Source organism: Homo sapiens, chromosome 4 (genome assembly GCF_000001405.40).
Source record: "Homo sapiens chromosome 4, GRCh38.p14 Primary Assembly".
Classification (NCBI taxonomy): Eukaryota; Metazoa; Chordata; class Mammalia; order Primates; family Hominidae; genus Homo; species Homo sapiens.
Window position 1 is genome coordinate 23,919,753 of NC_000004.12, and position 25,290 is coordinate 23,945,042.

Here is a 25,290-nt window from a genome sequence, read left to right on the forward strand (position 1 = left end):
TTGTTATTGACAGAATGTTCTCCCTTTTTCATGCACAGATAAAGTAGCTTAGCAGAACATACAGATAGAGAGCAGGTAGAGGACAAAGAAAGAGTGCCTGAAACTTGGATCAAATCGGAAGAATCAAGCCAGTGCAGTAAGGTTCTTGCTAATAAAAGATCCGCTAAGAGGATATAACAGAAGCCAGCATATTCAACAAGATAATGGGACAAGGGAAGCAAGAATCACCAGTGTCGAGTGAGAGGCTATGAAAAAAGCAAAGATCCAAAAGATCTGACTTGTTCTGTTTGACCCTTGAGGTCCACGTAGGAGCAAATGTAAATGAAATAATCTTAGAGACAGTGATTTTTAACTCAGCAAGAAGAGAGGTATGCATAAAGAAATCCCATCACAAGCTGTCAGAAACTATCTATTGATTTTAAAAAGATAAAACATAAAATGTTCAAAGGAACATCATAAATATAACAGTATGGGTTAAGATCAAGTACAGGGAAGCTTCTACCGGTGGGACTGTATTCTGCCATGGCAGGTGATGAACTAGCTCCATAAACTACCAGGTCTTTTCCCTGAAAAGAGCCTCTGGCTGCTACAACTTGATCTATCTAATTTTTAAAAAAATGAATCCAAGGTTAATATCTATATTAGTCCTTATAATGGTAGTTTGTTTATACTGTGGTCAAAATTTCAATTTGTCATCCATTACCACTGAACTAACTACTAGACTGCAGAAAACTCTATGTGGCCAGCAGCTTGGTGATGGATTGAAGGAAGCAGTAGCCATGACAGGGCCAGCAAATGCCTTTTACCCCTGGGTGATTTAATTCAGGCATAATAGTTGTACAGTTCAAAGCTTCATTTTCCCTGAAATTCTAAAGTTGACTATGAGAAACCCTGTCTTTTCTTCTCTCCACTTCAACTTTCTTCCTCCCAGCTCTATAATCCTCACCCTCCCCTAAACTCAGAAAAGGGGAAATTATACAGTGTTTTGCTAGAATTATTTTACATTATCTTCCATCTCCTACAGTGTCAGCGCTTGCCCTGCTACTGAAATGACTGAAGCCAGGACAGACTCAGGTTCCTATTTGGAAGTAGCAGGGAGGTTCCTCCCATTCTTCAAACCAGTTCAGCCACGGGGAGCCTGTTCCAGCCAGAACTCCCATCTCTGCTGAGGATATACCAGCCGCAGGACCCAGCCTGGGCTTGCCCGTCCAGTAAACAGCAAGGAGGCTAGAGGACACAACCCAGAGGACTGGGGGTTCTTCCATAAAAGGGACAATTGAGTCTCCCGTGCCACCCCCCACCCACTCCTACCACCTTTCTCAAAGGGAAAGGAGTGGGCTACACCACTTTGAGCACAGTGCAAAGCGAACAATTCCTTTCTCCCACACTCACCCCGTTCTTCTGAGGAATGGGGCTGACTTTGATTCTTCAGATTACATTCACAATTAAACTCTTTAAGACTTTGTACCCTGGGAAAACAGTAAACAACTCAACTCTTGTCCTCGGATAACCAAGTGCATGCGTGTGTGTGTGTGTGCGTCAGGGGACAGGGAGTATAAAAGAATTGAATTGAATGTGAAGGGATTCTTCAACTCCGGAGAAAGTCTACCACAAAGAGAAATGCATGTGGGTGAAACACCTTGTAATTTAAAACTATGTTTCTTCCAGCGTCTCCAGTTCTCGGCCTGAGCCAGGCATGGGATTCGGTTTGGCTGCCCTTACGTTAAAAATGCACTACACAGCAGACATCAGGGTGCCAGGCAGCTCATCATGTAAAGCCCCCAGGCACACTGAACACCATTTTGTTTGACATTTCACTGGCGACAATAGAACTGTCTGAAAATGCTCACACCCCACAGGCAGGTGGGAGGGGAGGGGTTAACGAGACAAGCGCACTTTGTGTGTGGCTCTCCTGGAATGTATTGGAAAAGGTACATGGAGCCTACTGAAAGCAAGTGTGGTTTTACTGGTGCATACTTCGTGGATTAGTTGGGAGTTGGAAATTATTTGGACTCAGTTTTCAAATGAAGGCTCAATCCTAAAAGTTAAAATAATAATGATTCTGTGGTTTAAAAGGAAACATGGCATTCACCTAAACGGAATACCTCTTCTTGGCCCCAAAATTATGGTGTGGTACTACAAGTGTCGGAGAGCACGTTCTACATGGTCAAGCCTTGCTTATTACCCAGGGACAGAGAATAATACCATTCATTCATTCATTCGTTCATTCATTCCACAAACATTTACTGAATATGCACAATGTTCATAAAATATTATGCATGCTTGAAGGTTAGCAGAGCAGAGAAAAAATGCCCAGATAATCAGAGATGGATTTTGACCTTATGGAATTTGCAGTCTTAAAGGGGAAATGCTACACAAACACCTAAGATCCTTCCAGAGAGTGCTAGGCAGAAATGTTAGGCATGTTAGACACAGACCTCTAATGGACTGGGTGCTTGGCACTCAAAGAGAAATTGATTCCAGCTGGGGCAAAGTCTATTGCTTAGCTTTGGTATCCAACAGAAGACCAGGAGTCCTCAACATCCCATCACATCAAGGAAGGAACATCTCCAAGACAACTTCACTTTCTTGCCAAAATATGCAGGTACACATCTATGTGTGGTCTGAATTTCTATAACCATCGAAGCGTTTCTCCTCCTTTCTTTCCCCCAGAAATGGCAGTGGAATAGATGCATTCACACAATAGCTAAGATGAACTCCATCATGTTTTAAGAGAGTTGGTTTTATTAGTTCAGTTAGTTCACTTTCCTTTGGTTTCATAATGTAAGAAACAAAAAGAGTAAGAGCAGTGCTTTATTTCAGTAGTATGGGGTAAGGCTTTAACTTTCTGGGTCTGAGGCGGAGGTTTCTGCTGGCATCTTAGCTTTCTGTGTGTTTGTTTGGTTTACTCCTGACAGAGACAATGGAATGCTTCAATGAAAACGCCCAACTCATTTTCCATCTATGAATGAACAGAAGGCATCCCGTGGCTAAGGAGGGATAAATATTCCGCGCCACTGGAGGCCTGCTGGCTCACCCGGGCTACACCACTATTGTACCCACTCTGGCTTCCACACGCAATTTACTAAAGTTTGTGCTGTTTCATGGCAAGGTGATTTATCACTGACACCTCTTTGCCATTTCAACTGGGGGCCACTGCAATGGGGCAAGGTTCAAGGAAGTTGGCCGAAACTGAAGCAGACATTTTATCAGCTAACTATTGCATTTTCTAGTTCTTGACTTTTCCCCAGGAGCTTTTGTTTTCATTTTGTTGGCTGCCTTTAACTCCTCTGATGCTGTACAACCCCAGGTTGTTTTTTTCTAAAAACAATAGAGCCTTTAGTACACTGGGTTTTGTTGCTTGTTTTTTTTTTTTTTTTTTTTATTTTTGGTGAAACGATATTAGGGCTCCTTACCTCTAACAACTGAGTCTTGCCATGGTTTTGAGTGTGAGGAAAGTATTACTGAAGGCATTTAATAGGTGGACAGACAGGTATGGAACTGTGTTGAGGGCCTTACATTATATGCAGGTCAGCAGAGGTAACAGAAACGTGGTTGTATGCTTGACTCACCCACTTGAAAACAATCCAATTCCATTATTTGTTCCTTTCACAACCTGTTCACGTGCTCAATCACTGATTTATTTATTCACCTATTCATTCATTCAACAATTGAGTGCCTAATATGAGAAATATTACTGTCCAGTGACAGCATGCTAGTAGACCAAAAAAACAATGAATAAGATATGGGTGGTCCTTACAAGGAATTCACAAGTCTGTGGAGAAACTACTCAGTCAACAAAAAATGCAAAAAAAGAAAAAAGAAAGAAAGAATGAAATGATTGCTAAAAAAGAAGTAACATCAAAGAGCTGTCAGAATACAAAGGAAGGGAATGTACCCTGATATGCATATATTTAGAAATAGATTCCAAAAATGCTGCAATTGTACTGAAACAAAATTTTAACTTGACCTCCTCAGATGGAAAAGGAAGAGGGCAAACTCATTCTTTTTCTTGAGATAAAATATTTCCCCAAAAGTTAACTTTTGAAATCATTTTCCAACTTCCTTTCCCTTAGTTCTCCCTCCACCCTCAATACCTTCTTTATATTCTCATTCTTTTTGCTCTAGTGGAAGCTATGTCATTTTCCTTGAGAGGACTACACTCCAGAGTACAAGGAGAAATCATGACATTTCTTCTGGGCTGGGCTGCATGCTCACTCTTTCCTATGGAGAGATGCCTTTTCAGAGCCCAGGAGGCAGGGGCAATTCCATTTCCATGCTGGCTCAGCCCTGGCCTCTCCTGGGCACAGGTAGAAATGATACCAGGCCATGCTGAATCACTTACAGTGGTACTGTGATGAAAATAACTAGTCACAGGAGATTGGCTTGGCCATCAAATTCATTGCATGTTGCTGAAAATCAACTAGGACTCCAAATGGGCCAGTCTTCAACTTCTTGGCAACCCTCTCTATGAAAACAAATGCTTTGCCTTATCCTTCCTATGAGATTCCTCACTCCCTTTTTTGGGGGGACTGTCAGCACTCCTTGAAGGAACGGAACAATTAGTGTTCACAGTAGATGTTCAAGTGTCTAGGCCAGGCGTGGTGCCTCGTGTCTGTAATCCTAGCACTTCGGGAGGCCGAGGCGGGTGGATCATGAGGTCAAGAGATCGAGACCATCCTGGCTAACAGGGTGAAACCCCATCTCTACTAAAAATACAAAAATTAGCTGGGCATGGTGGTGCCTGTAGTCCCAGCTACTTAGGAGGCTGAGGCAGGAGAATCACTTGAACCCAGGAGGCAGAGGTTGCAGTAAGCCGAGATCACACCACCGCACTCCAGCCTGGGTGACAGAGCGAGACTCCATCTCGAAAAAACTTTCATTCCATTTCTTTTCTTAGACAGGTGTCCAGGCAGAAGGATCTCAGAGTTTACTTTCTGCATACACAAACCTCCATACAGCACCATGCCTAGACATGACCAACTTCCTCACAGTTGCTTATTGAATTCCTCCCCTCACCTGCATCACCAAAGTGTGCCAGGATGTGATTTCCTGGCATAGCTCACTGGTCCTGCACAGTTTTTATTTCTCTCCTGCTCTGTCCCCCTTCATACACCAAACAGGAGAAAGGTGGATTCCTACCCCCACTTTCCTTTCTTTTATAGAAGAGTGATGGATTCATGGTGCATAAGATCAGAATATGTCAGCTTCAAGCAACACACATTATCTTTTGAAAAGTATGAACTACTGTAACAATTAAAGCGTTTAGGAGACAAACCTTCAAGTGTCCTCAGAAGAAACGTGTAAGCACAATTTTCTTCTAAAATGCAAACTTAGAGAACAAAATATGGGTCTGAAAGCATTTTGTTTTTAATTAACTTTTCTAAAAATCTTCTCAATTTGAGTGATCTTTTACTGACCCATTGTCGACTGGAGGAAACAATTACTTTGGTCATTGAAAGAGTCATTTTTACCAATGAGCTGTCATTATCAATCAATCTAGGGTTCCCTGCTCTAAATACAAAAATGAATAGGTGAATAAATCTGTAAGTGGATAAATTGTCTGCACACCAATCCCCGCAGGCCATGTGTTTATAAGTCAACAGCTTAAAATGAAAACATCTGATGAAGGTAATACACCTGTTAAAGGAGCATAAAATTCCAAACCCAATGGTAAAATATAAAGATTATAAAGCCTCTTAAAGGAGCCATCAAAGCAAACTATTAAATGAATACATCTGCTCTGTGCTAGACTCTAGTTTATAAGTGCCGCTCAAAATAAAAGAGATTGAGGACAAACATTTCATAAAAGGATGTGAAAAGCAGTGAAGGAGACGTATTTTGAGGATGATGAGAGAAAATGGAATGGATTCAGTTAAAAAGAAGAATTGACCTAAGCTCAGGCCAGGACTCACAGGAAAGGTTTTATGAGTCTAGTTTTCATTGGAAGGGGTAAGATGTGAGGAGGTATAGCAGAATCATTTTTCATGTCCAACTGTATACTTTCGTTTTAGTCTACAGACAAAAGGGGAAAAAATCAGTTTAGCACTAGATAGTTACTTGCAGTGAAACTTAATACTAGAAAGAGAGAGAGAGAGAAAAAAATTTTTTTAAATAAGGAAGAAACTTCTAGTCAAGGCAGTTCCCATAAAATTTCAAACTTATAATGTTACCAAAGAAGTGTGGTAAGAGATTGGTGTTAGTTGGGCTCCTAAGACCGTATTTCTACCCGACCCTCTTAAATGTGGTTTTAGTCGTGATGCATTTTCCTGGTTTGCCTGACTCTCTGAATGCTGCTTCTCAGTGTTTCATCCTTTGACTGCTGGTGTTGCCTATAATTCTGTTTTCAGCCCACTTTGCTTATTCTTCTCAGTCTTCCTTGGCTCATCTCATTGCCTCTCATGGCTTTAACTGCCACCATGACAGAATCTATGTCTCCAGCCCAGATTGTCCCCAGAGTCTCAGAGACAGCTGGGTACTCACCACCAACATCTTGCAGGACCAGAACACTCAAAATATACAAAATGGGCCTTAACATCCTCCCAACCTCAGCTGCTTGCCTGCCTGTGTTCTTTGCATCTGTTGAAAAGAAGTAACCCAATCCACCCAAACCAAAAATACACTCATCCCCTTCAATCTTAATCATTCTTAAGTCTCTTCCTTCCTTTCCATTCCATGATGAATGTCCTAGTTCAAGCCAGCGATCTTTCTAAAACTTGACTCTGGCTACATCCTACCTTAGTGTCTATCATTTCAGCCCCTCAACATTGACCTAGAGAAAGCGCTTGAACATGGCAGGAAGGTCTTCTCTGAGCTGGCCCCTGCCCTGCCTCCAGTCTGACCTCTTATCCCTCCCTGCTTCCTACTTCCAAGAGAATGCCCTTTTATCATGCTTTTGCTCCAGCTCTACCTGAAATCATTTCCCAAATCCTTTTTCCTTATCTAACTCTCTTCATTCTTTAAGAATCAGCTCAGTTGTCAGTTCTTCCAGGGAGTCTCACTGCCTGCTTGAGGCCATGTTAAGTCCTTCTGCTCATGGCTCCTCCAGAGCCTGGTGTACTCATCTACTACTGCACCCAGCACATTATAATCGCTAGTTTATGCATCTGTTTCCCCCACAGACAATGAGCTCATTGACAGCAGTGGCTCTCTGTTATTCATATATATCTTCCATGCACATAACAATAATTACTGAATACATGATCTATCTAACAAAAACACATTTACACATACAGATGTGCCTTGACTGACAATGGGGTTATGTCCAATAAATCCATTGTAAGTCATAAATATCTAAGTCAAAAATGCATTTAATACATCTAACCTACAACCTAGCTTAGTCTAGCCTACCGTAAATGTGTTCAGAACACTTACATTAGCCTACAGTTGGGCAAAATTATCTAATGCAAAGCCTATTTTATAATAAAATGTAATTTATTGAATACTGTACTGAAAGTGAAAAACAGATTGGTTCTATGAGTACTCTGTACTTGAAGTATGGTTTCTACTGAATGTATACCACTTTTACACCATCATAAAGTCAAAAAATCAAAAGTTAAATTATTATATGTCCAGGACTGTCTGCATATCCTACATGTAGATATTTTAAAGATATATGTTATTATGCCAGTAAAATAAAAGCCTCCTATATATTTATTTCTTCACATCCATCAAGAAAAGGTTTATGGTTTTTTCTTGTTTTTGTTTTGTTTAATTTTGCAGTTAGGAGAGAGGGTAATTGGATCTGTTTCACCTTTCTTGAAATCAGTCAAATTTAAGCTTGAGTTTTACAAAATTTTCTAATAAGAATAATAATAAGTAATCCCTCCTGAGCACCTGTTATCTTGAAACACTGTTCTAGGTGCTTTGTATGTCTGACTTAATTTTTCCTTGCAGTAGCCCCAGGCAGCCTGCTGTCTAGGCATTCCTATTCTTACCATCTACACAAACTAAGGCATTGAGAATAACTCAGCCAAGTTTACCCACATCAGAAGGGATGGAATCTTGATCCAGCCAAGGCTCCTCAATTGTACTACACTGTCCACAATCAAAATTCAGTTTCTGTTATTGATTCCTACATCATGGAACAGAATTGTATTATGACTCAAAAATCCTTGCAGGCTTAAGAGCCAGTATGGAAATGGACTTTAACCAATCAGAATGCATCCTAGGACCCTGCTGTGTCAAGCATTAATCTTTTGGTTACTAGATCGTGAAGCAGTTGAGGAGTTCCAAAAGCAGGAGCCACACTGACAGAGTCTGGGCACTTGGAGGGCCTGGGCAGCAGCTAGTATTTTAATATTTTTACAACTGGTACTGCCATGATGGTGCATCCCAGCCGAATATCAACCCCGGTCTGATGCATCAAAATAAAGATGTCAGGAAAAAGTGTCTGGACTATTTTCAGAGTCTGGTGCTTCGTTCGTTCAAGGTTATTGTTCTTGGATGCAGCTGCCACTAAGTAGAATTTCCTTAGAGGGAAAATCCACAATTTCTGGTGGGAAAATGGAGGCAGCGAAATTATATCCTAGGCTTCTAGGCTCTATTTCTCTTGTATCTCCAGGCCCAAAAAGGGTACCTGGCACAAAATAAATACTCAACAAGAATTGCTATGAATAAAATGCAAATCAAAGCCACAATGAGATACCATCTCACGCCAGTCAGAGTAGTGATTGTTATTAAAAAGTCAGGGAATAACAGATGCTGGTGAAGTTGTGGAGAAATAGGAATGCTTTTATACTGTTGGTGGGAATGTAAATTAGTTCCACCATTGTGGAAGACAGGGTGGGGATTCCTCAAAGATCTAGAACCAGAACTACCATTTGACCCAGCAATCCCATTACTGAGTATATGCCTAAAGGAATATAAATCATTCTATTACAAAGATGCATGAACACATATGTTCATTGCAGCACTATTAACAATAGCAAACACGTGGCATGAACCCAAATGCCCATCAATGATAGACTGGATAAAGGAAATGTGGTACTTATCCAGCCACAAAAAAACAAAAAAAACAAAAAAAAACAACAAAAAAAAAAACCCAAGATCATATCTTTTGTAGGGGACATGGATGGAGCTGGAAGGATTTGGAAGCCATTATCCTCAGCAAACTAATGCAGGAACAGAAAACCAAACACTGCTTGTTCTTGTTTATAAGGGAGCTGAACAATGAGAACACATGGACACAGGGAGGGGAACAACACACACTGGGGCCTGTCAGGGGATGCGGTTGGGGGAGGGAGAGCATTAGGAAAAATTGCTAATGCATGCTGGGCTTATTACCTAGGTGATGGGTTGATAGGTGCAGCAAACCACCATGGCACACGTTTACCTATGTAACAAACCTACACATCCTGCACATGTACCCTGGAATTTAAAAATCAAAATCAAAATAAAATAATAATGAATAAATAAATAAATAAAAGTAACTCACCCAAACTGGATTAAATGTTAGGTCAACCCAGGGAGGTACATAGAACACCAGTCTATAAAGGACGCTAAAGTATTGCTATAGACAAAATGAGACAGAGCATGCTATATGTGGTAGAAGGAAAACTTGTGTGAGTTACTAGAGGTGGAAAAATAAAACCCCTGAGGATGTGCTCACATCATAATAGATGTTCCATCAACCACCATCTTAGGATGCCAGTTAGCCACAGACCTTTTATGTGGTTGAACAGCACATGCAAGTTTGGAGCCAGAGGTGAATTGCTTGGAAAAATAAAAGGAGTAAGGCTAGTGCTGCCTCCCGAGGCTCTCCCACTCACACTTTGCTGGAAGTGGTTCAAGTCCCTCTGCAGTAGCAAAGTGTGAACACTGTTGAATGTTAATGACAGAAACCATGGCAGGCACTTTACTGAGAGGAAAAAGTGCGGCACCCATTATGGAGAGTGGGGAAGAAAGATTGGCAATGGCTTTACCCTCAGTGGGAGAAGGTTGAAGTGGCCCCAAGATTGAAATCATCCTGGAGGTGTTAACACTTCAAGTCTGTGTTCAAACTTTGCTGCCTTCTGCTGCAGAGGATTTGCCTACAAATAACAATAACAAGAATAATAACTAGAATAATACCTGCCACCTTTTATTTAGCATTCATTGCGCCCTAGGCTAAGCCTTTATGAGGCTCTTCTCATTACATCTTTTTAACAACCCTATGAGGAGGGTATTATCATTCCATTTTACAGCTGAGTGTTAACAGACCATAAACTCACCAAGGAAATCCTCAAAACATGGCTGATATTCAACCTCTCCTATAGATTTGCAGACTCTGTTTTTTGTCACCCCACTCCAGGGTGCCACGTTAAATATATGTATATTTTAGCATCCTTGACATCTTTAAATGATATCATCTGAATTTTTACCTAGATATTCTGTTTCATTTACCTTTAAGTCCCCAAATCAGGTTTGAAATTCCTTTTCATTCACACAGAAAGAATATTTATATTACTACCCATGGCTTCAAGCAGGACAAAATCCCTCTCCACCATGAGTGACTCTGAACTTGATTTTTGGTGTAACAGCCCTCACATTGTACCATTACATATATACTCAAGGGCAGAAAATAAATAATAAATTATAGCATTTCTTATGTTTGCTTTGCACCATCCAAGATGTCAATCATATTGTGGGGAGTAACGCCTTCTGACCACTGACATTTAGGTACAACGCTGAAGGACTATTTCTCCAGCTAGCACTTCAACACGGTTCTCTAATATCTTAAAGATCAACCTTAACAACAACAATGATGACAAAGGTATGAATTTTATCAGTTACAAGGTATAAAAAAAGGTTTTGAAATATGAACAACCTTATCATTGATTTCTTTCTTTTTAGGCCAAAAGAGCATATATCATTCAAGCTATGGGGACAAAAATAAATTGTTGCCAGAGGCTGTTCAAATGGAAACCAGTAGCACCCTTCAGGGTTCAATGTACTTTTTTGTTTCTTTTTTCCTACCCAGACTCTCAAAGGGACAAACACATGCAGGAAAGTGATCCTGGAAAGAAGGGGTTAATATAAGCTGCACAGTGCACTCAGTGATGCCTTAAATAATTGTCACATGTCCCCTATAATCTGTCCCATGCTGTCAGCACTGAGTTAGTCATAATAATATCAGATAAGAGCTGTTCAAAGTGACACACTAACCAACATGGGAGCCACATGACTTTCTGGCTTGGCTACTGCCCTTCAGCTGAACTTTGGCTTAGAACACAAGGCTCCCAGAGGCAGCCTGGCACATGCCGCCGCGTGGAGTGTCCGGTGGCATTTTCCGTTGCTAGGGCCTCTGTTGCTTCACAGTCTAGTGAGGGGCAGCTGGGGATCAGTGACAGGGAGTCACCTGCTCACCCCACCTCTGGGGACAGGGAAAGGAATTGGCTGCTGTGGTGGCCGCTGCCTTTCTGAGCTTGTGCTGGGACTCCCTGTCCCCTCCACAGTTGATTAGTTTTGCAAATGTGTGTGTCACGCGTTATGCCAAGAACCACAGCAGGGAAACTCGGACCCCCAAAGGGAGTTTGTGCTGGAAGAGGTAGAGAAGGAATGTGACTCTTGGCTAAGAGGACACAAAGGCAAGGGCAGGAAGGAAGGAGGAAAAAAAAAGGAAGGAAAGTTATTACCTCTGGGTAGAAGGTTACTGTAGACTAGCTCTATTTTATTTGTGCTTTTCTGTATCCCCGCCCTGACTTTTTTTTTTACTTCCAGCATACTTTAGATTTTTAATTTAAAAAGTTAAGGCACATATTTTTTAAAGGAGAATAAAGAAAGAATAGTGAAAAAGAGGAAGAAAGGAAGGTGACCCATTCACTCACTGATTCATTCACAAAGCAGAGACCAGAAAGGAAGCAAGAATCCAATGTCATCTGACATTGGATTTGAGAACATTTATTGGCAGTGTGCCTCTGGCATACTTACCTAACACCTCTCTCTAAGCTTTATTATCCTCGGCAGTAAAATGGAAAAATAATACCTAAGTTACAAGACTGCCATGGGGATAAAAAGAGGTGATATATGCTAAGTGGCTAACAAGTGGTAGGTGCTCAATAATCAGTAGCTCATGGGAAGCCATGGAAGTTATGACGATCTTTGGAGTCAGAGATACCCAGATCCAAAGTCTGACTCCAGCACTTACCATGGTGTGACCTCAGGCAAATTATCTCACCTTGCGGAGCCTCAGTTTCTCATGTACAAAATGGGGATAATGATACCCCATTGTCAGGGTTGTTAAAAGGAGTTACTGTTAATGCTTTACACTTGGCAAATAATCAGGCACATGGTAGTTATACAGTAATTTGTAACAGGAGTTGCCATAGTGGTGGTGGTCATAGTAGCTAAAAATAGAAAGAAGGCAAATCCATTCATTAATTCAACAAACGGAAATAGCAAGATGTACAAGTAAAAGTAATAATCAGACAAATGTATAGAGAAGAGATAACTAAAAACCAAAGGTACTGATCAATAAAGATTGGAAGAGTCTAAAAGGACCCAAATACATGAGAAGACAGAGAACAAGAGAATGCTCTTAGTGGGACTAATTAGTTCCTCGCTTAGTTCCTCGCTTGGCTGGGAACTATCTAGTCCATCCTCCTCCTGCCTCCAGGGAGCTAATGCTATCCTTCCATTCTATAGATCGAAGTGCAGACGTCTCCAGTGGCTTTTCCCAGATCACACAGCTAATAAGTAGCATAAAAGGGGTCAAAGCTCAGGAGTGCCCCTACTGTGCTCTTTTAGGAAAGGCATTACCAAAATTAAATATAAATAGAGAAACATTAGCAACTAAACTAAAAGCAACAAATGTCAGCAGAGAAAAATTATTGTTTACTTTAGGGAAAATGGAAAAAACGAAGTAGTGTTTTTTTAAAAAAATAAAATACAAGAAATGGTAGCTTAACGAATTTTTTTTTTGAAAAATGAGAAATAAAAAACTGTATTTAGTAGAAAGACATCTTATTGGAGATAAATCTTAGGAGGCAGAATTTCATGGAGAACTTAAGAGGGAAGAATTCCAGTTGGAAGGAGGAAAGCAAGATTTTCCTGTTCATGTACTCAAGTCTGATTCCTCAGGGTACTGCATATTCTAAGATTTCTCTGACAAAATTCCATAGCAATTTGCTCAGAAGAGGAGAAGGCCACCAACACATGGGGTCCAGGAATCAGTCTCGCCGTTCTAAGCTGTTAACATTAGACAGGTGCTTCAAGGAGAAGAAAGAACACTTGTGTTGTCCAGTTGGGCAGAGTTTTCCCGACAAGTGGTGACTCTAGTGGTATAAAAATCAGAAAACCCTAAAGGGAAAGTGAAGTGAAATAGGAAGGAATTCGGGCCAGCCAATGCCTGGAGCTTCTTCCCAATTCTTCTGGTGCCAAAACGTCTGAAAGCTCTGTGAATTTTTTTTTAAGTAGGGGCCATTCCCTTTCCAGAAGCCAGGCGGAGTGCTGGAACAGAAAACAACCACAAAGAATGAAGTCTACCTCTTTCCTTTGTTATTCAAGAGCTGTGTGGAATGGGCCTCTCCCTAAAGCTCACCACCTTCATTGAATTTTTCTCCTATGTAGAAAGAAAAGTCCTCAGTTTGTTTTGGAGAATAAATGAGATAAAGTAAGCAAATATATCTGATGCCTGGTAAGTTATACTATTATTTTCACTTTGCTTCCAGGAGTAAGTGTTTGCAACTTTCTCTTCCCCACCACACAAATAGTTGATTTGTTGGACCAACTCTCAACCTCACCTCATACCAGTAGGAGGATTGTGAGCCTGAAGCAAGAGAAACTCATGTGGAAATGGGTGACAGAGGAACTGGAGAATGGAAAGAAGAAAGGAAACATGATTTAATATTAAGGAAAATAGCCTACTGGCCCAGCAAACTCTGAGAGGCTAGAAAGCATTTTATTTTAGACAGCTTTCTGGCTATCACCTGAAGTTTATGAGAGCTAGCCTTGCCTGTGCCATGTGTATAAATCATCCCTGCCCACTTATTAATAATCATAATGCCTTCTTTTATATAGAGTTCTTTGGAAGGCACTTTCACATACATCACCTAATCATTCATATGCCACAGGGTATCAGCAGCTGCCAGCCACTCATCCGCCCAAGTGGGCAAAGCAACTCGGTCTTTGGTTATGTAAATATGAGGCCCACAGGCACCATGACTTCAGGAAAAGGTGTAATGTGTCCTGTGTGTCTCCCAATATCCTTTGCTAGGCCGAACTGTCCACTGGGGAAAGGTGAATACACTGGCATAGGGGCTAAGGAGATCCCTGGAAAGAAAAATGGAAAGGTCTCACTTGATGCCCAAAGTTATTAGAATCCCTCTGTTAGAATGGGGCAGTCTCAAAGTTTTAAAGGAGCACCCACAAGAAAGGTGGGAAGGTTAAGTGGGTGGTGACATGGGGAAGGGTGAATCTGGCTGAGACTGCAAACTGCCTAGGACCTGCTGCCCTGTCTTGGTGTAATGCTATGAGGAGCACTAACCTAGCATGTGAGTGTGATGAAAGAAAAGTGGCAACTTAAAGTCAAAACAAGGGGACGTCACTGGATCCATGTAGAGAGCTGTGGTAACAACAGCCCCTACAGAGCAGAGGCCCAGCCTCCACTGTGCTATGCAGGATCAATGTTCAGCAGCGACACTGTGTGGCAGCAACTGAAGTAGCCGTGCTAGTAGACAGCATGGCATCCAACCTTTTCCCGCAACCACCCCCTGCAGACTGGTGGGGTTTTTGTTTTGTTTTCAAGGCTGAGCTAACTAGCCTAAGTCAACCCCTAGTTACTTGGAACAATTGGGATTGTAATCTGTGGAATGATGGAGAGACTTCATGAAGGAGATTTTGATCTCCTGCTGATAATGGTGTCTGAGACTCTCTATTGACTAATCAGAATAACAAGAGACATAACTACATGTGTGTGGCCCATGCTGGTGAAGCTAATCATATTGGTTACATTTGCAAAAAACCCAGCAAAACCTCTGAGTTAGGCACTATGATATAGGCAGAGAAGTTACTATTAGTCTCAATTTATTGATAAGGAAACTGAGGCTCATCTAGGTTTTAAGTGGCTTGCCCAAGACCCCGGATCCAGGAAGTGAATAAGCAGGTTCCCTTTCCAATGGAGAGGATTTTAGTTAAACAAAAAACAATTGCCACTGCCTTTCTCTCCTTTGGAACCAAGGTGGAATATCCCACCAGATCTTGTGGAATTGTCTCTGCATGTGAGCTGCACCCTTTCACAAAGCTTCCCTGTCTTTTCCACTCCCCTACATGTACTTGGGCAGAAACCAAGCTCGAGGTTCTGCTCACATGCTTGTGGTTTGGCTCCCAGCTGGGGATCACATTCTCTGCTCCACAGGCAAAGCCAAGGATCCTTCTTGCAAAATACTACTGGTGTCCTGGTGCCACCTCCCGAAAGAGCTGCCCACAATGCTCGCATGCCTGGGAGGTAGGGTGAGCAGGATCAAGCACTGGCAAGCAGGACATCCAGCAAGAAAAGATTATGCCTGCTCTTTCTCCCAGTAAGTTTCCTAAGAGCCATAGACTTGGTCATTAATAAATCCACACAATTTCAGGAAACCTCTCAGATACAAATTGGTGAAATTAAAGTGAGACAACATCTGGAAGTAAATTATATACTAATTTTGGCTATTTTCTTGCTGCTTACACACTTAGCAGAGAAAGAGCAAATGTCCACGGATTTCTGGTTCACAGGTACTTTTTTTCCTAGCTGTATCATCATAATGATAATGTTAGTAGATATCAATTTTTGTATCAGGCCCCCTACTGTGCAACTCCAAGGGATACTACTTACATAGAATACCATGTAAATAGTGCTCCCCAGAGGTATGCAATATGGCTTTTTCCATAGAATTATTTCCTTAATCCAGGCATAAAAATTATTTACCAGTATCTTATTTTATTACAAATAACAAACCACGTGGTAGACATTTGTATCTCTGTTTTACATGTGAGAAAAACAACAGGCATTGAAAGTTTAAGTGATTTGCCTATGGTCATATAAGTAGTAAGTTGCAAAATCAGGAAGTCAGGATTCAAACTCAGTGCTATCTGAATCCAAACCTCATGTTCTTAACTGTTTCATTATCCTAACTGAAGCCCTTGTATAACAGTAAGACATGAACCTTAAAAAAAAAAATTGCTAAGTTGGTTAACATCTAAATGTTGAGCCTATATATAAACAGCCTATACATGTATTTTTTTCAAGAAGAAAATAGTTTATGTGTTCTGTCTTCTTAGCATGTAAGACTTTTCAGCACGTTTAATTTAGTGAATATTAAGTATTGATATTACTGCATATGAATTCCTATGTACATCGAGGAAAAAAGTTTAATCAATTTTATTTCATTTTAAATAAGCTAATATTACCACAAAGCTTTCAGATACAACTGATTCACCAAAATGATTGGCGAATCAATACAATAAGTAAGATGTATTGAATGCCTACTATGTACTATTCTAAGTCATTTTCATATATTAGCATGTCTAATACCCCGAAAATGCATATAACATAGGCACTGTTTTCAGCTCTACTTTGCACAGATGGATTGAGAAACTTGCCCAAGATCACATAGCTACTAAGTGAAAGACCCAGAATATGAACCAGGCAATCTGGTTTTAGGTTCTACTCTATAGCCTCCAAGATCTGAAGTATGGCAATCCACAGGACATGAAAAGCAGCAGAGGGAGTCAAGAAGCCTAATCAGAACAAGCGCAGTGGCTCACGCATGTAATCCCAGAACTTTGGGATGCCAAGGTGGGCAGATCACCTGAGGTCTGGAGTTTGAGACCAGCCTGGGGAACATGGACAAACCCCATCTCTACTAAAAATATAAAATTCAGCCAGGCATGGTGGCAGGCGCCTGTAATCCCAACACTTTGGTAGGCCGAGGCGGGTGGATCACTTGAGGTCAGGAGTTCAAGACCAGCTTGGGCGACATGGGAAAACCCGTCTCTACTACAAATACAAAAATTAACTAGGCGTCTTGGTGCGTGCCTGTAATCCCAGCTACTCGGGAGGCTGAGGCAGGAGAATCGCTTGAACTGGGAGATGGAGGTTGCAGTGAGTCGAGATCGCACGACTGCACTCCAGCCTTGGTGACAGAGTGACTCCATCTCAAAAACAAAACAAAAGCCTAATCATGTGAAAACAAGTAAATAAACTAAACACAGACTCCCAGAATGGAGCAAAGCACCAGCTCCTGCATGTACTGAACATGACAGGCATAGGCTTCTAGAAAATGCTCAGAAATAAGAAGGCACTTCTGTGCGAAGTCACGAAGAAGACCAGAGACCAGGAGGGGTGCCATGAAGGTCAATTGCTAAGGCAACAAACCACTAATTTCATGGTCCACAGAATGATACACCTCTTTTACCAGAACAGAGAGGGAGAAAGGATACGAGATACTATATGATTATAATATTTCCAAAGTCCCTAGGTAGCTTCTCCTGATTTGTCTTACTTCTACTGCTTTCATGGTAGTTTTACAAGTGAAATCTGCCTTTCGTTTATTTATTGGCTTTCTCCCACCAACATAGGGAGCTGATTAATCTTCAAAATATCCCCATGCAATGTGCAGATGCATTCCAAAATGCTGCTGATCCCGTCTGTACCAGGAAATTGGGGCAGAAAGTTCTGCCACTTCTGCCCAAAGTAAAACTTGGCACTAAGCCAGAGGTAGAACTGTGGATCAACCCCAAAAGTGCCTATTCCCAGCCCACAACTTCCTTTTTCTTTTCACTAGAAAATAAAATAAAATAAAGTAAAATAAAATAAAAAATAAAATAAAATAAAATAAAAATAACCCAGGTCATTAAATTTTGTTGACTCCTTTCAACATTTTTTTTCCTATTAAAATAAGCAAAATTTCTGCCTATCCTCAACAGGTCCAGAAAGGTAGAAATGTATTGTTCAATTTTCAATCATTGAACATAAATTCACTTGTTGGATATTACTCTCCCACTATACATACTATAAGTCTGAATGGGTTAATAGATCTCCACCAGGGACAGAAATGATCTCTCTGCCCCTCTGCCCTGGAGGAGGAGCTGAGATATTCTGTGGCTCACAGGTACTTTTCCTGTGATATTTTTCTGCCTCATCATCACAGTCCATTCAATTATACGACTTCTCATTATTTAGGATCAATCCCCTTTCACAATGTCCCAAAGGAAAGTGCCTTGACAAGCATCCTATTCATCTCAATAGGACTTTGCAAAGTCAGAATAATATGCGTAAACACAGTTGGGCTTGGAGGTGGGTCCAAAAGAAACTATCTAATGCTGTTGTGGCAGATGAGAGCCTTGGAGAGGCCAAAATGGGTCCTATGAGATCCAGAGTAAAGATTTCAGGGAGACTAAAAAAAAAAGTGCACCAAGGAAGTAGAAGAGTTGCATAGAGACAGGAAAACCAGTAAAAAAAATTCAGTTTCTGCTAAGTATTGCTTCTGGTTCTTACCTTGTATTTAATTTTAGCATCTTTGGGTATCTTGAGTAAGAATTGTTACAGGTAAAGTCTTAAGAACCATGAAAAGTCCCTCCCTGGAAGGTAGAGGCACCAAGGTACACTTCCTCATTTAGAAGTAAAAAATGCACATCTTCTTCTGGTCCAACAATTTTCTAGGTCATTCATTTATTTATTCTTTCATTAAATGATTGCACTTATAATACATGTCATATGTTATTCTAGATAGTCACCATAGGATACAGTAACAAACAAGACATGCCTTCCAGGAGCATGCAGTAGAGAGAGAAAAACTGACTCTGCAAGACTGTTTAAGATGTACAATGATGGAGAGCAGAGAATGATGAATGCTAAAGATGACACGGAGAGCTCTTCTTGAAGATTCACAGTGTAAAGCACCATGAACATGAATGGGAGTGTGAAAGACCTGAAGAAAAGAAGGACACCAAATGGAGTGGTAGCACCATAGTCCCTTTCATTAGGCAGGGATCACATAGAGAAAACATGGAGGTTTGAGCATGAAAATTAGAAACAGATAAACAAGAAGGTTAGGAGGTCAGAGAAATAGTGTAGGACAGTGACAGAGAAGCAAACCTTCCTCCCATCCCCCTAGGACATGACTTTCGCTTAGGAGAAGTAAGAGCTAAGGAGAGAGCATGTCTGCTGCCCAACAAAGGTTGGTCACTGGTGGCCATATGGCATCATGTGGCTGCCCCAGTGGATGCTCCCTTGGTGTCAGGGAGAAGCCTCCACAGCTGCTCTTGCTCAGATGCTCAACAAGGCTATTTTGGGCTGGATGGGGTCCATGGTGATGACTGCCCAGCCTGGGCAGCTTACCCAGTGTTGCTTTTTAGCATTCTGTTTTTCTTGTCACTTAGCTCTCTACCATACAATTACTCAAATAAGGAAAAGAAGAAGGAAAAAGGGAAGAAGAACATGACTACATCTTATTTTTAGTACTCAAATCAATGGTAGCAACCTCCTGTGCATTTCAATAAGAACTTTGCATATCAAACCCCCCCCCAAATAAAGCATAGTAAACATATTAAAATCCATAATGACATTTTTCTGTGCTGTTTTAAAATATGTTTGTTTGTTTTGAAATACCAAAATGGCTCAGCCCAAATTAAAGACTAATTCATTGACAGATGGGCCAAAATAATGCATAAATACAATAAGCATACTCAAAAATGTGTGTTTCACCTTATTACCCTCTAGGTCAAAGGATGTTTAGAAAATAACAACTATCTTTTATTTCAATATATTTTCCTTCCAAAGAACCAAAGCACATTTCAAAGATTATCATGATCACAGGATTCTATAGTGGTAGGAATCTCAGAGGTTTTGCTGCCTTTGCCTATGTTTGAACATTTTCTGGAAAATAAATTTCCCTCTCTAGAGATAGAGAAAGGATTGAGGAACAGCTAACCAAGAAATGCCACAAACTTAGAAGTTATAGAGATCCCCAATTCAACACTAATAATGGCTACCATCTAACTAACTATGCAGACACTAATGCTGAGAACTTCAGAATACAATATCATAATTTAACTCTCACAACTCAAGAAGAAAGTGATATTACCCTAGGTTTATCTACAAGAACAATGAGGCCCAAGGACATAACCAGTAAGAAAAGAACATAATAAGAACCTCAGCATCTGGTCTGTTTTTCAAAAGTAGCATATTATCCCTCAACCACAAGGAAAAAAGGTCACTCTCATTATTTTAAGCCATCTCTTCTCATCTTCCCTCACTTGGAAGTATTCAGAATCTGCAATAACTATGAATTTGAAAACATATTTCACATCCTTCAACGTTCCTGGAACCTTCCCTAGAGCTCTAACTTCTCAAGGCTCCCCTAATTTATACAAATTTGTAAAATGTAATCAATGATTTATCAGAACCAGTCTGGGTCTTCCTTCAATAATTAATTTACCAAACAGTAATTAATTTATCAAACATGTATTAAGTACCTTCTTTTGTCATGTACTGTTTCATCGACAGACATGAAAAAATACAACCCTGGTCTTGAGAAACTCAAGAGACATGCAGAAATATCTGCAGCAATGTAACAAACCATCTTATAACAGAGAACTGTGGAAGACGCTACATGGAACGCAGAAGAGAAAACAGTGCCAACTCCACCATTAGCTTCAGGGAAGCTCCAGAAGGAGGTGACATTTCATTTAAGTCTTAAAAGATGAGTTGGAATTTCTCAGGTGACCTCAACAGGCAATTGTCCAAGGAAGAAGGACAGATTGAAGCACATTTGAGATTTCCATTTGAAAACATTTTATAGATTCTGCTATCATGTTAAAAACAAATCACCAAACAAAAAAGAAAAATCTCATTTTTACTGACTCACTAACTCTACATGCTAATGAAAATATCAAATGAACAGTAATTGTATGGTCACTAATAGCAGCATCATGAAACCAAATGACATCAACAAAGAAGAAAACGAAAAATTCAATTACTCCATGAAATGTTTGTAGTTAGTTAGCTCATGGAACTGTCTTGTTCTCTGGGCTTTCTGACAAACTAGATCCAGGCCTCACAAAGAGTCAGTGTGTAGGATGCAATTCCAATTTGCCTGAGTCTTTCTTGGTTGCTTGCTACTTAAAAATCCTAGCCTAAGATTATCCCCTTCCAGACTCTACAAAAAAAATTTAGCTCAAAATGAAATCAATGCACTTTAAAACCCCAAATGTAAGAAGTATCCAAAACCATAAGCTAAAATGTGGCTTCCTAGAATGTCTCATAAAATTAATGTTTGTTAAACAGATACCTTGTCAAAAACAGAAACTTGAATCACTGAAAATAGTTTTTCTTAATTTTATTATTATTATAATTTTAGAGACAGGGTCTCACTCTGTCACCCAAGCAGGAATACAATGGTGCAGTCATAGCTCACTGTATCCCCCAACTCCCCTCTCTCAAGCCATCCTCCCACCTTAGCCTCCCACGTAGCTAGGCCTATAGGCGTGCAGCACAACACCCAACAAATTTTTTTAATTTTTGTTTTTCAGAGATGAGGTGTTTACTATGTTGTCAAGGCTGGTTTTGAACTCCTGGCCTCAAACTAATCTCCTGCTTTGGCCTCCCAAAGCACTGAGATTACAGATGTGAGCCACTGTACCCAGTTTTAATTTTTTTTAATGTCATATGTCTAAATGGATTAACCAAACTATTTTGTGGGAGGGAAAGTAAAACTTCAATTTACAGAACGGGGTGTGATATCTGTCAGACTCGATCAGATGGGCCACTGATATAAACAAAGAATTTAGGAATCACCTTCTAAAATCGAAATAATGGCCCACTTTTAACCTCATCCCTGAAGGGACTTACAGTTTATTTCATTTCACATACACTCATTTGGGAAAAGAGAATGGCACTGGTGATGGATTTCCATGTCAGAGGGCACCTAGTGTTGCTTTTTAGAGCAGGAATTCTGATGTGAGATCGTTCTAGCTCTACAGGGGTCATGAACAGTCCTAGGGCACAATGTCACCACCAGGTGGGCTTCAGATCCATTGATCCTTTCAGGTATGATTTCCCTGGATACATGTTGGGAATTGTCACTAAAGGAACTCACTGCATGCACCCAAGCCACAACACTAACCACCACTACAACCACATCCTAAAGAATGACTATAATATCATTCCTTTTCCTGCTTACCTCTACTACTAAGAATGACTTTATCTAGATTTGGAGACTAAAATATCTGCCATCATTTCAGAGAATAGCCAGAGCTCTTTGGACTCCCTACTTTAAACTGGATAGGCTTTAGCTCTTAAAAATCAACAACCCAACACCACACACTATGGGCAGATACAGTCTTTTCACTGTGAAAGATAGTGGGAAAAAAAAAAGAAGAAAGAGAAGAATCACACTCTCATGGATTTTTGTATTTTTACCTTAATGGAATGATTTTCACATTTCACCTCTTGGCAGCAATCCATGCATGTTCTAAAACTGTACCATCAACATCAACACACAGGCCTCTAAGCAGGGAGTAATACACAGGAACCCATAAGAAATAAGGTGAGTGAGTCATTGAATTCACTGAAAAACATCTGAAAATGTCCCTCTGAGAAAGGACTTAGTATCAATATTTAGATTTTATATCTAAATGATTCCCAATATTCTTGTCAATTCTGCATGGTCAGGTTAAACAGAACTAGTGGATTTGGCTGTCAATACTCTAAGAATTTTTGTCTGTTTTGCTCTTGTCTAACCTACCTAGACATACTACATTACTATCATCCCAAATAAGTATAGAGTTTAGAACAAGTCCCGATCTTTGAAACACCCACATTACTGTTATTTACTTAAAATTCACTTCCACACTTACTGAATCTGTACAGCTCTGTGTTCACCATATCCCATTAAGCACTCATACACTTAGTATTAGTAAATTGGTCCCTCTGGGAATCTAAACTTAGGCACACATAAACACTACATCTTGGAATTCATAATTCTTTCATAATCACCTCCCATTTGGCATCTGTGAACTCACAAAGGCAAATTTCCTCAGTAAAGATCTGTTCTGAGTCCAATATTTACATAAACAATTTCTGTTTGGAGTGTAGGTTTCTTCATGCACCAATAAACTCTCCATCTATGTTGGTCTCTAAATTTCATGTTACATAAATTTTAGCACTACAGAAATACTTCAAGCAATGTTCACCATTTTCTCAGCACAAAAAGTCATGTAGACACAGTCTAAGAAGGTGTTTTGTGCATTTTTAGTGGAATAAATATAAGTACAATTTGAATTGTAGGTATAATTTGAGTTGCAGGAATAATTGAAGCTTTTTTTATGTTGCCTTCATCCTGAGGCTTAAATGTCTTTGGGAGTTGGGACTATTTACGTACTCAGTTCATAGCCCAGCAAATACCCACTGAATTAACTTTAGTCAACCTGAGTTTGTTTCATTGTAAAATAAGTAAGTACAATTTTGATTTATCAGTCAAAATGGGACTTTGACTCTGTGTTCTTCTTTTAAGGGTATGCCCACTACATGCTTAAATTCTCTGCTTATTGAATCTTTACTTATTCAAAAGAATAATGCACAACAGTCCTTTGGTTTAATAAAGCTAGCAAACATGAGTGCAAATAGGTTTTGCCTTTGTAGAAAGTAACTTATCCAGATAAATTAAAAGGTTTTTTTTTTTTTTTTTTCTAAATACATACCCCTTGGCTCAAATTTATACAGAAGGGTTTATTTTAAAGGAAACAATTTGAGGGATTTAAGGATATTTGTAAAGGATATTCATGTGACATTGCCTGTAATAGTTAATAAAATGGTAAAACTGCAAGATCTATCAATAGGTAATTGGGTGAATCGGTTGTGGAACATCCATGCAATGTGGACATGCAATCATGCTTCCCCCTCTAGAAAGTGAAATGTAACTCCTCAACCCTTAAGTGTGAGCTGTATTTAGTGACCTATTTCTAAAAGTACCTTATGAAATGGGGGATAAGGAGTGACTGTGCAGTGGAGAACCCTGGCACCCATGACCTCCGGTGATCAAAGTTAACATCATCATAAATCTTGTTGATAGCATGTCTTCTTGACATGATATGTTGAGAATAGCATTTCACCTCTGTGGCCTTGCTCCCCAAAACCTATAAATCCAGGCTAACCATGAGAAAAACATCAGACAAATCCCAATAGAGGCATATTCTACCAAATACCTGACTAGTGCTCCTCAAAACTGTCAAGATCATCAAAAAACAAGGAAAGTCTGATAAACTGTCACCACCCAGAGAAGCCTATGGAGACATAATGATTAAATGAAATGTGGTGTCCTAGATGGGATCCTGGAATAGAAAAAGGACATTATAGAAAAACTAAGGAAATCTGATTAAAAGTAGAGTTTAGTTAATAGTCATATATCAATATTGGTTCATTAGTTGTGACAAGCACGCCACAGTAATAAAAGATATTAAATTAGGTGACACTGAATACAAGGCATATGGGAATTCTCTGTACTTTCTTAACAACTTTTCCATAAATCTAAAAAGATTCTAAAATAAAAAGTTTATTTGAAAGAATGCAGTCATGCACAATAATGATAAATAAATATGTGGACCCCCTCCTGATTAGGGTAGGTGCTACTCTGTCCTCCAAAGCACCCTGAACTTCTCCCATCATAGAGCACAGATCCCACGTATTTACCTTCTTGTCTCCCTCCAGCTTCATTAGGGCAGAGGCTAACACTGTTCTGTGTAAAATCTCCTAACACTACATAACACCGACCAGGTACTTAACATCTGTTAAATAAATGAGTGTATCGTTATGTTCCCAAGTGAAAACAAAATCAGATTCCAAAACACTGTTGATATGGTTTGGCTGTTTCCCTACCCAAATTTCATCTTGAGTTGTACAACAGTTCCCAGAGTCCCCACATGTCGTGTGAGGCACCTGGTGGGAGGTAACTGAATCAGAAGGGCAGCTTCCCCCATCCTGTTCTCATGATAGTGAGTTAGTTCTTATGAGATCTGATGGTTTTAGAAGGAGCTTCCCCCTTTGCTAGGCACTCATTCTTCTCCTTGCTGCTGCCGTGTAAAGAGGGATGTGTTTGCTTCTCCTTCTGCCATGACTGTAAGTTTCCTGAGGTTTCCCCAGTCATGCCGAACTGTGAGTCAATTAAACCTCTTTCCTTTATAAATTACCCAGTCTCAGGTATGTCTTTATTAGCAGTGTGAGAATGGACTAATAAAACTGTGTACCTTGCTCTATCACCTATTAGCTATATGACCTTGGGCAAGTAACTTCACAGCGCTGAGCCTCAGCTTCCTGATCTTTAAAATAAAAATAGT

At 40.1% G+C, this 25,290-nt stretch overlaps 1 protein-coding gene across 15 annotated transcripts in view, besides 2 other annotated features; it reads right to left on the minus strand.

The window, feature by feature from the left end:
* PPARGC1A (PPARG coactivator 1 alpha) overlaps nucleotides 1–25,290 on the minus strand; it is a 680,885-nt gene that overhangs the window by 127,732 nt on the left and 527,863 nt on the right. The window lies entirely within an intron of this gene.
* Nucleotides 10,686–12,317: an enhancer, noted in NCBI's record as "VISTA enhancer hs2346". NCBI's record gives its function as "enhancer in: eye[8/11] | facial mesenchyme[5/11]" and the evidence as "EXISTENCE:transgenic organism evidence [ECO:0001131][PMID:17130149]".
* Nucleotides 12,402–13,242: an enhancer, noted in NCBI's record as "OCT4-NANOG hESC enhancer chr4:23933777-23934617 (GRCh37/hg19 assembly coordinates)". NCBI's record gives its function as "activates a minimal SCP1, AML or CMV promoter by ChIP-STARR-seq in naive H9 embryonic stem cells {active_cell/tissue: H9 hESC(naive)}" and the evidence as "EXISTENCE:reporter gene assay evidence [ECO:0000049][PMID:30033119]".